The 12,192-nt window shown below is 44.1% G+C and overlaps 1 long non-coding RNA gene across 1 annotated transcript; it reads left to right on the forward strand.

Annotated features, from left to right (window-relative positions):
- The first annotated feature begins 224 nt into the window (after positions 1–224).
- On the forward strand, positions 225–9,216 carry LOC105376123 (uncharacterized). Its single transcript, XR_930068.3, has 6 exons — positions 225–316; positions 3,664–3,834; positions 3,940–4,059; positions 4,791–4,978; positions 6,602–6,752; positions 8,588–9,216. It is a non-coding gene; the product is annotated as an uncharacterized LOC105376123 (long non-coding RNA).
- The last annotated feature ends 2,976 nt before the right edge of the window (positions 9,217–12,192 follow it).

The raw sequence follows: 12,192 nt of genomic DNA on the forward strand, positions 1-12,192 counted from the left end.
GAATCCTCTCTTAAAATGTTTGGAACTCTAGAACTTCTTCCTTGAAAAGGAGTAAAAGCAAACATTACAGGTTATATCTTTTAGAAGCATGTAACTAGAGCTTTTTATTAACTCAAGTGGGAGTAAGACCTGGCACTGAATTGGTCTGGTAACTTCTTTCTTGCAGCAGACATTTATTGAGCTGCTACTATATGCCACTGACTAGGGCTGTAGGAGAGGCAAAGATAAATATGGGATCATACCTACAGGGAGCTTGCTTGTAAAATAGTTGGGGACAAATGCAACTTTTGCAACCTACCTTTGAAGACCCCATCAGGTAACCCTGTTAGACACTCTTACAGAAGCCTGTATCTTCCTATCATTGCACATTTAAAATTGTATTTCTACATTGACTTCTGTGATGCTAAGTTTAAAGTCTTGCTCACTCGCTAGTTTCTAAGCTCTGTGAGCTCTAGGAGGGGAGGGGCTGTGTCTATTCTGATTATTGTTATATTCTCAGCCTCAAGTTTACACATTCTAGGGAGTCATTAAGTATTGGCTGAATACCTACATTATTTGAATGAGCAAACTATAATGCAAGACAGAATTTTATCCATCGGTTACAAGTGAAGAGTGATGTGAGCAGAGAAGGGAGCAATTCACTCGGGAATGGCTTTGCCGATGTTGTGAACAAGATACAGATGAGGTGGAAGTTCTTGCGTGCTGGAGATGTGGCTGGGGTTTGTCTCACAGTGGAGGCAAGGAATTGCAACTTTTTTCTATTATTGTACACCTTGAAGGCGAGGTTAATTAAATCCTGTTGTGGGGGTTGAGGGCCGGAATTTAATTTTTGGAGTTTTATTTAATGTCGGTAGCAGATTGGGTAATAAAATGTATATTGAGAATAAGATGGCCTTTTGACCTTTTAGGGTCTAGGGCTGTAAAGCGTCTCAGGGTTGCTGCCGAACGAGCCATGAACTGGGCTGGGTTTTTATATTTGATGAAAAAGAGCCTAAACGCTATCTGATTTGGGATAAAGAAAAAGGAGCATTAACCTTGACTATGCCTTTAGCTCCAGCCACCTTTTTAAGAATAAATTGCTGGGCAGGTGGGGGAGGGCTAGTCACAGAACGAAACTGTAAGCCAGACCAGGTGTGAGGAGGGGAGGTGATAGAAGGATTATAGGGTGGAGGAGCAGAGGCTGAGGAAGTATTGGGACCTAGCTTGGGCTGGTGAGGAGGGTAGAGGTCAGATGGGTCTGTAGAAAAGGAAGATTAGAAAGACTCAGCGACGCTTGGGGTTGGGACTGAGGGGACAGGCGGGAGGGAAAGAAGGAAGATTTGGGACGAGTTGCACTGGGCACAGAGACTAGGAAGGGACTGATGTGTAAAAGAATGTCTGGACGTCAGGCACCTCAGATCATTTGCCCATTTTACGACAAGAATTATTTAGATCTTGTAGGATGGAAAAATTGAAAGTGCTGTTTTCTGGCTATTTGGAACTACTGTCGAATTTGTATTGGGGTCAAGCAGCATTGTAGAAGAAAATAAGGCATTTAGGTTTTAGGTCAGGTGTGAGTTGAAGAGGTTTTAAGTTTTTGAGAACACAGGCTAAGGGAGAAGAAGGAGGAATGGAAGGTGGAAGCTTACCCATAGTGAAGGAGGCAAGCCCTGAGAAAAGAGTAGAGACACGGAGAAGGGGTGGGGGGTTCTTGCCCTCCAGAAAAGCAGAGAAGGGGTTGGGGCACGGAAATAAGAGGTCAGGGTGCAGAAATAAGGGATTGGGGCACAGAGATGAGGTTGGGGTGCGGAAATAAGCGATTGGGGGGTTCTTGCCCCCTAGGAAAGCGGGACTTGCCGCTGAGGGTGAAGGAGAAGGGTTTGAGGGGTACTTGCCCCTGCCCCAGGAAAATGGGACTTGCCGCTAAGGGTGAACGAGAAGGGGTTGAGGGGTACTTGCCCCTGCCCCAGGAAAGCGGGACTTGCCGCTGAGGATGAAGGAGAAGGGGTTGAGGGGTACTTGCCCCTGCCCCAGGAAAGCGGGACTTGCCGCTGAGGGTGAAGGAGAAGGGGTTGAGGGGTACTTGCCCCTGCCCCAGGAAAGCGGGACTTGCCGCTGAGGGTGAAGGAGAAGGGGTTGAGGGGTACTTGCCCCTGCCCCAGGAAAGCGGGACTTGCCACTGAGGGTGAAGGAGAAGGGGTTGAGGGGTACTTGCCCCTGCCCCAGGAAAGCAGGACTTGCCGCTGAGGGTGAAGGAGAAGGGGTTGAGGGATAGTGAGGAAGGTTGGAGAAGAGAGTAAAAAGAGGCCGCTTACCGGATTTGAAATTGGTGAGATGTTTCCTGGGCTGGTCGGTCTGAGGACCTGAGGTCGTAGGTGGATCTTCCTCACGGAGCAAAGAGCAGGAGGACGGGGGATTGATCTCCCAAGGGAGGTCCCCCGATCCGAGTCACGGCACCAAATTTCATACGCGTCCATGTGAAGAGACCACCAAACAGGCTTTGTGTGAGCAACATGGCTGTTTATTTCACCTGGGTGCAGGCAGGCTGAGTCTGAAAAGAGGGTCAACGAAGGGAAATAGGGGTGGGGCCGTTTTATAGGATTTGGGAAGGTAATGGAAAATTACAGTCAAAGGGGGTTGTTCTCTGGTGGGCAGGGGTGGATCTCACAAAGTACATTCTCAAGGGTGGGGAGAATTACAAAGAACCTTCTTAAGGGTGGGGGAGACTACAAAGTACCTTCTTAAGGGTGGGGGAGATTACAAAGTACATTGATCAGTTAGGGTGGGGCAGGAACAAATCACAATGGTGGAATGTCATCAGTTAAGGCTGTTTTTACTTCTTTTGTGGATCTTCAGTTACTTCAGGCTATCTGGATGTATACGTGAAAGTCACAGGGGATGCGATGGCCTGGCCTGGGCTCAGAGGCCTGACAGCGATCACCTGCCAGAGGATAACACCAGAAATAGACCCTGAGTGTCTGGACCTCAGAGGCCACAAGGCTCTTGTCCCAGCACTATCTGAGGGTCCTTGATTTCAAGTAGGCTCTAGCAGTCTAGTGGTCAGTGATTTCTAGTCTTTGTTCTTCTCCAATCCATAGTTTTATGCTGATTTAAATGAAAAGTGATTCCTTTTTTTCTGACCTTTTTTCTTCAACTCCCGTTTGTTCTGCCATTCTTGGTAAAACCTCTCTGGAGACCTACTACCTACTGGAACATTTCATGTGTTTTCTTCAGACATTTATCTCTTATGACTTGTGAAATAGATCTCAAGGGTTTAAAAAATATATGTCTGACATTCATGGGAAATCCATCCGTAACTCAAATCCAAGGGCTTACTTCCTGGCCTAACCACTTGGGGTCGCTCGCCTTCCTGAGACATGCTCCTCATCCAAATCCACCACTGGCATCCTCCAGGACCCTTTACAGGTCCGAGAACAAGGAACAGCTCAGAGGGCCAGCTCTTCAGGGCCAACTGAATGACATTTTTCATTATTAGGAGAACGGGGTGGTAGTTTCAGATATCAGGGACCCTCAAAATAGGAAGGGTGCCTAGAGATCATTTGGTTCAATCCCTTTGGGAAAAGGTGGCCCAGAAAAAAGAAATGACCTGCCCGGTCACGTTGTGTATCACTGACAAGGTGGGGATGGGGGTACTCTGGGGAATAATTGGATGAATTATTTCAGCTTAAGGTTCCACTCTTGGAGTAAATGGAGAAATTTATAACTGCGCGATAACACCGCCCTGACCTTCTCTACTCAGCGTGAGAATTAATTACCTGAGGCCAGTCCTATGGAACATTGTGAAGGCACGATTCAAAGACGCCAGCCAACCATCTGGCACTTGAAAGAGGCTAAGTATATGCAACTCCCCTCTTATCCTCTCTCTTTCATCACCCAGTGTGTTGAACTGAATGGCAATTTCTGTGTTTTCTCTCCCCTGTTTATTACGAACATCTCCAGGAAAGCCAGTTCCATGGACTCTCCCCATCATGGCATCGGCGGTGAGGAAGAACACTCCTAAAAGAGTGGGGGCCTGTACTGGCAGCCTAGGGCTTATCTGCAGGATGGAAAAGCTTCCAGGTAGAGCAGATGTGAGGTCTGCTCCTTTTCTTGCCTTTACTGATTGTGAAGCTGACGGGAGTGACTTGTTTTCAGTAAAATGTGCCATCGTCTTGACACCTCCAAAAGCTTGGTAGACTCAACTCACTGGACAGAAATGCAGGGTGCTTGGAGAGATTTAGTCCCAGTGGGAGAACACATTGCTACCATTCACTGGCTCTGACTATGGAATATCTAACTCAGCCCAGAGCTGAGGGTATGACTTCATGGGAAGCAGCTTCCCCATCTTCACTGACCTGAGCTTTTGAGAATTAACATCAAAACCCGAATCATTAGCATTGGGATTGGAAGGGCACTTTGTCATTTTCTAGGAGAGAGTGGAATCTTCCTCCTGAAAGATTTTCCCTAATGACTACCTGCAGTCCCAAGGGTCGGTAGCTGTGTCAGGCCCTGCATGGTGTAGCTTGGAAGAGAAACTTGGCTGAGCTATGGAGACTTGAGAAGGTTCCCAAGGGTTTCCTTCTCAATGCAGTTAGGTGACCCTCTGACTTACTGTCCAAAACGGGACAATTTCGAGAATAAAAAGGGGTGCCTCAAATGGCTCCCAGAGGTTTGAGGATCCAGGGCCCTGCCCACCTTCTGTTTCTAGGTCTGAGCCTTAGAAACAAGACACAAGACCCTAGCCCCAGAAAGATCTCAAAATCAAGGAAACTTTTCCATCAGGTAATACCGTTTTACTTGTTTGCTTATAGGACATAAGCCCATCACAGGGCTTACCCAGCTGCCTTTGAGAAATGTTTGGGGTCACATTGGCTAAAATTAAGTACTTTGTGGTGAACTGGATTTGACTGGAACTAAAGGATCGACTTCCAAGCTCACTCCTGTGGCTGTCGGCAGGAGGCTTCAGTTCCTTACCACATAGACCTTTCCACAGCATGAGGTGGGGACTCAGTGAAACCAGGTTCTGAATGTCAACAGAGAAAAAGACATTTTTTTTAATTGATTGATATGTGGTGGCATTTAAAAAGAATTAGCACTTACTTTTTTTGTTTGTTTTTTGTTTTTTGTTTTTTTTTTTTGAGACAGAGTTTCGCTCTTGTTGCCCAGGCTGGAGTGCAGTGGTGCGATCTCGGCTCACTGCAATCTCTGCCTCCCCCCGGGTTCAAGTGATTCTCCTGCCTCAGCCTCCCAAGTAGTTAGGATTACAGGCACCCGCCACCATGCCCGGCTAATTGTTTTTGTATTTTTAGTACAGATGGGGTTTCACCATGTTGGCCAGGCTGGTCTCAAATCCTGACCTCAGGCGATCCACCCGCCTTGGCCTCTCAAAGTGCTGGGATTACAGGCATGAGCCATGACACCCAGCCTTGCTTTTCAAATTAATACACACTTACGGCAGAAAATTTGGAAAAGAGAATCACAATAAAGAAAATTAAGTCACCAGTAACCTCAACACCCACTGCTAACATGTGGATGTCGTATTTTTCATCATTAGTCATTGGGCAGCTGTCAAATTGTTGATGTGATTCTGGCAGTAGAGCTTGTAAGAATGCATTCTAAAAGCCAAAGGAAAATTCCACTACAGGTGGACCAGAAGAACATTAAAAATTTGTATTAAAGGCCAGGCACCATGGATCATGCCTGTAATCCCAGCACTTTGGGAGGCCAAGGTGAGTGGATCACTTCAGGTCAGGAGTTGGAGACTAATCTGGCCAACATGGTGAAACCCCATCTCTACTAAAGATACAAAAATTAGCCGAGTGTGGTGGTGCATGCCTGTAATCCCAGCTACTCAGGAGGCTGAGGCAGGAGAATTGCTTGAACCAGGAGGTAGAGGTTGCAGTGAGCTGAAATCACACCACTGCACTCCAGCCTGGGAGACAGAGTGAGACTCTGTCTCAAAAAAAATTGTATTAAAATTAATATTTTTAATTGATAAATCATGATTCTATACATTTATGGGATACAATGCGATGTTTTAATATATGTAGACAATGTGGAATGATTAAATCAAGCAAATTTAACATATCCATCATCTTGTTTACCTATCATTTTTATGGTGAGACATTTGAAATTTATTCTCATAGTTATTTAGAAATATAGAGTACTTTATTATTGACTATAGTCATCCTGCTGTGTAATAGATCTTGAAATTTATTTCCTCTGTCTATCTGAAACTTCAGAAGAACATTTTTGACAAGGCGGATGCTAGGATTTTGGTGATTGTTATCATGCAACAAAGGTTTGGTAGAGCTTTGGTTATATTTTTTTCCTGATGAAACAGGAGTTTCCATGTCTAGTGATTGTGAGTGCACTGAAAACAAGAACTTTATTTTAACTTCATACCTTTCATAATTCCTGGCACATGAATATTTGTTGAACTGAATTGAGATATACTTTCTATCATTCAAAACACTTTCATGTGCTCCAGGGTGGAAATACCACCTTGTTGCAAAGGGCCACTACTAGTCTAATGAACCTATGTATTAGTTACCTATTGCTGTGTAACAAATTACTGTTAAATTTACCAGCTTAAAATGACAAACATTTTAATATCTGCCAGGGCTCCAGTGTCTGCAGATTTGACTGGAACTAGAGGATCAACTTCCAAGCTGGAACTAGAGGATCAACTTCCAAGCTCACTCCTATGGGTGCTGGCAGGACGCTTCAGTTCCTCACCACATAGACCTTTTCACAGCATGGCTTCCTCTAAAGTGAGTGGAGAGAGAGGGAGAGAGACAGAGAGAGAGAGAGACAGGAGACAGAGAGAGAGAGGAGAGAGAGAAAGGGAGAGAGAGAGAGAAGACAGAGAAAGCAGCCACATGCCACAGTGTTTTTACAACTTAATCTCGGAAGGGACATGCCATTACTGCTGCTTTAATCTACTCTGTAGAAGCAAATCACCAAGTCCAGTCTACACTTAAAGGGAGGGAATTGAGTCCCATCTCTTGCTGGTAGATGTATCAAAGAATTTGTGGACATATTTTTCTTCAATTTTAAAATGTACTATCATTAATTTTTTTCTTTATTTTCAGTAGTGCGATGAGAGTGATATATATATACATACATATATATATACATATATATACATATATATATACATATATATACATATATACATATATATACACATATATACACATATATATACATATATATACATATATATACATATATACATATATATATACACATATATATATACACATATATACATATATATACATATATATATACATATATATATATACACATATATATATATATATATTTTTTTTTTTTTTTTTTGAGATAGAGTCTTGCTCTGTCCCTTAGGCTGGAGTGCAATGGCATGATTATGGCTCACTGCAACCTCTGCCTCCCGGGTTCAAGCGATTCTCCAGCCTCAGCCTCCTGAGTGTCTGGGATTACAAGCACCTGCCATCATGCCCAGCTAATTTTTTTGTATTTTTGTAGAGATGGGGTTTCGCCATGTTGGCCAGGCTTGTCCTGAACTCCTGACCTCAGGTGATCTGTCTGCCTTGGTCTCCCAAAGTGTTGGGATTACAGGTGTGAGCCACTGCGCCCAGCTGAGAGTGGATATATTTTTAAACCATTGCAATCTATACAGCTATATAGATGCCATATATAGAATCTCTAATTTATACTCCTTTCATAGTTCACTATGTAAGTAATATAAAAATACATTCTCTATACACAAAAAGCCAAAACATTACCTATGACCAGACTCTCCTTTGATCCCTCCCCTGACACAGTTCTTGTCAGCTGAGGAGCTCTTAACTGACCAGTACTGTTACTACTATACGTCTTTCCAGATATTACACTGTGCATTTTATACTTAGAAAATATTCCATGTTTTGTCTACATGAGTATTTATACACGTAGTGTCATACTGCATGTGCATTCTTTATCTTTTTTCACTCAACAATATACTTCAAATTTGCCCTTTTTATTTAAACTAATACAAGGTATTCCAGAGTACAGAAGACCAAAATCTATTTAGCGATTCTTCTATTGCTGGGCAGATAGGTTTTTTCTAGTTCTTGATATGACAAATGCTGAGGCTTGTGTAGAAGTTTCCCATGCTAGTGGTTCTCTCTAGGGCATGTAACAAAAGGCAGAGTTCCTGGGTCACATTTTCCTACTAAATGTAATGAAGATGCTTTTTTATTGAGATGGAGTCTCACTCTGTCACCCACACTAGAGTGCAGTGGCACGATCTCGGCTCACTGCAACCTCTGTCCCCTGGGTTCAAGTGATTCTCCTGGCTCAGCCTCTCGAGTAGCTGGAATTACAGGTGCCTGCCACTGCGCCTGGCTAATTTTTGTATTTTTAGTAGAGACGGGTTTTCACCATCTTGGCCAGGCTGGTCTCAAACTCCTGACCTCGTGATCCACCTGCCTCAGCCTCCCAAAGTGCTGGAATTACAGGCATGAGCCACTGTGCCCGACCATGAAGATCCTTAAAAAGGAAACAAAGAGCTAATGTAGCTTCATTCAGCTTTTTATTTTCCAGAACATATCACTATTTCCTTCCATCTTTCCTTAAGTTCTCCTGGCCAACTCTTCAATAGCACAGGTCCAAGACCGCCATGACATAGGAATGGATGAACAGTTGATATGGATCATGCGTGGGGGATAGAAGGTGAACGTCGGTGAACAGGCTCGGTCATCCCCTTCCCTGAGGTGCTTGCTTCCTTCCACTCATGCCTTTGTGTGATCTCGCCCCTTAAGTATGGGCAGGGCTTCTGACTTGCTTCTGACCAACGGAACGTGGCAAAGTCAATGGGAGGCCACTCTGTGATGACGCTGGGTTAAAAAAGACCCTGTGTCACTAGCAGATGTGTTCTGCTCTCTCTTCATTTGTTGGCTTCGAAGAAGCAAACTGCCATGGACTCAGCTGAAAGGAGTCAAATGCCTCCAACAATCACATAAGCAGGGAAGTGGACACTTCCCTGGTGGAGCCTCTGGTGAGAACCCAGCCCTGGCTGACGCATTAATTGCAGCCTGTGAGACCTTTAGCAGAAGCCCTCCTGATCCACAGAAACTGTGAGATAATAAGCCACTAAGTTTGTTGTAATTTGTTATGGGGCATAGATAACTAGTACACGCAGTCCTACTGAGATTTTCTCTCTCCCTCTTTTTTTTTTTCTATGAATAAACTCCTTTCTATTTTTGAGCTTTCCTTTCCAAGTCACACATTTTATTTCAAATAATTGATAGTTGTAATAATCAGCTTGCTGCTTGAAAATACCCGCAAGCCTCGGGGTATATTGTCTTAGTCTGTTTTCTGTTGCTATAACTAAATAACTAAAAGTAGGTAACTTATAAAGGAAAGAAGGTTATTTCTTACAGTTCTAGAGACTGAGGCTGGGAAGTCCAAAGCTGAGAGGTCACATTTGGTGAGGGCTTCTTGCTGGTGAGGACCCTCTGTAGAGTACTGAGGTGGTTCAGGGTATCACATAGACAGAGGGGCTCACTGAGAGCCAGACTGGCTTTTATAACAGACCCACTCTTGTGATAACTTGCCTACTCCTATGATAACTCATTAATTCATTAATCCATGAATGGATGAATCCATACATGAAGGCAGGATGGATTAATGTGCCTTCATGTCCCAGTTACCTCTGAAAGGCCCCACCTCTTGATACTGTTATATTGGGTATTAAGTTTCAACATGAATTTGGGAGGGGACAAATATTCAAACCATAGCACACACCATAGAAACTTCTTGCTCATGCATCTATAGGTCAGCCAGGATTGGTTAATCTAGGCCGGCTATTGCACTTGGCTGCAAGCTCCATGCTGAATGGGCATCTGCTCCATGAGTGTCTCATCCTCCTTGGACCAGGGGACAAGTGAGGCATGTTCTTCTCACAATGTGCAACATGCCAAGTCCAACTGTGAGGCATATTTCAATTCTTGCTTGGGTGAGGAGTGTTGACATACCATCGCTCAAAGCAAGTCACATGGCCAAGCTCAAAGTCAAGGGACAGGAAAGTATACTCCCTAGACTCCAAGGCCATGGTATGGAGCAGGTGGACTGGGGGAAGTACTGGGAGCAGTAAGTCAATCTCCCAGTGAAAAACATGGGATTTGGAGTCCAGACGACATGTGACTTCTAATCTTTCCTTCCAACATAGCCTTTAGCAAATCAACTTCTCTCTTCAGGTCCTAGTTTCCTCATCAATAATAGGGGAGGTTGTACTAAATTTGCTACAGCCTTGAAAATAATTGTTAAATATCTTCTATGAGCAATGAACTACTTCGTGTGGTAGAAAAAAATGAGTATGAATTTACTGAGACAAAGGATTTGTGGAAATAAAAATTACATAACTGAGAACAAACTGAAGCCATTTATTCAGAGCTTGCTATAGCAAGGGTCAGCCACCAACACTAGTACTTGGTAGAGACTTAAAGGCAGGCAGGAGAGTCGGAAAGTGTTGTCGTGAACAAGATGGGAAGGTGTCAGGGATGCTCTGATAGGAGGTTGTTGGCATGAGGAAGTTGGAGGCAGGCTAACTAGAAGCAGGGCAATCTTATGTGATTGGTTCAGGGACATACTTGGTTTTCTCTGGTTGGTTAAATTTAAAAGCGGAGTCAACAGTTAGAGAAGCTGGCAGTTTCTGACCAACTCCTGACCACTCTGGGCAAATTGCTGCAGAGGTTGTGAGTTCTAGTGTCTGCTTTGCAGATTTAGCCTCTCAGCTTTAAGACAATGTGTTACTTTTCTATGGCTGCTGTAACAAATTACCAGAAACTTGAGGGCTGAAAACACAATTGTTCTTTCACAGTTCTGGAAGTCAGAAGTCCGAAGTCAGTTTCACTGGGTTGAAATCAAGGTGTCTGCAGGGCCATGTTTTCTCTGGAGGCTCAGAGGAGAATCTGTTCCTTGCCTCTTTCAGCCACCATTCCTAGGCTTTTGGAGGCATTACTCCCATCTCTGCTCCTGTGGCCACACTGCCTCCTTCTCTTCTGTCTCCATCTCCCTCTTTCTCTTACAAGAATACTTGTGATGGTATTTAGGGCCTGTTTTAGTCTCCTTGGGCTTCTACGACAAAATTTCATAGCCTGGGTAACTTAAACAGCAGACATTCATTTCTCATGGTTCTGGAGGACGGAAAGTCCAAGCTCAGAGCACCAGCATGGCCAGGCTCCTGCAGAGGGCCCTGCTCCTGGTTTGCAGGTGGCTGCCTTCTTTCTGTGTCCTCACATGGCACACAGAGAGTGCTGGTCTCTTCCTCTTCCTATAAGGACACGAATCCCATCATGGGGGCCTCACCCACATGACGTCAGCTGGATCTAATTACCTCCCAAAGGCCCCACCTCCAAATACCACTCCACTGAGGGTTTCAACTTCAACAAATGAGCTTTGGTGGGACACAAACACTCATTCTATAGCAGGGCCCATCAGATAATCCGGGAGAATCTCCTCATCTCAAGATCTTTGATTATTCACACCCACAGAAACTTTACCATGTAAGGTCATGTTTGTGGGTTCCAGGGATTAGGACATGGACATATCTTTGGGAGCCATGATCAGCCCACCATAGTATTCTTAAACCCTAGTCCAGTGGTTCTCAAATGCAGTTCCTGGACTAGCAGCATCAACATCACCTGGCAGCTTGTTAGAAATGCAAGCTCTCTGAAGCCCCAAACCTACTCAATTAGAAATTCTAGGGATGGGGCCCAGCAATGTGTTTTAGCAAGCACTTCAGGTGGTTCTGACGTACACTGCAGTGTAATAACTTTGTTCCAATCTAGTGTTCTTTTCTCAGCATTTTGGTGCCCAGTCTAAAGTGTTCTTTTATAAATACATATATATTTTTATCTTTATTCAGAGATTCCCAGATTTTTCTCAATTTGGCCTCCACTTCTGTGCCATCTCTGATGGATGACTAAATGCTTGGAATGTTTTGTTTAGAAGAAACAGTACCATGATTGATTAACAAGGTCTGTCATGGCAGAGGAGGGACAGTGGTTCTACCAGTCCCACCTTAGCCTCTAGCTCTCTGGGGCTAATTTGTGATGGAAAAAATAAACAAAAACCCGCACATTTCACATTTCCTTATGGGAGAAACACTTAACATTGTCCTCTGTTTGTACTATTTTATATTGTGTTTGCATTCTTTATATCTTTAGGAGAGGTCTGATT

This window comes from Homo sapiens, chromosome 9 (genome assembly GCF_000001405.40).
Source record: "Homo sapiens chromosome 9, GRCh38.p14 Primary Assembly".
In the NCBI taxonomy this organism is placed as follows: Eukaryota; Metazoa; Chordata; class Mammalia; order Primates; family Hominidae; genus Homo; species Homo sapiens.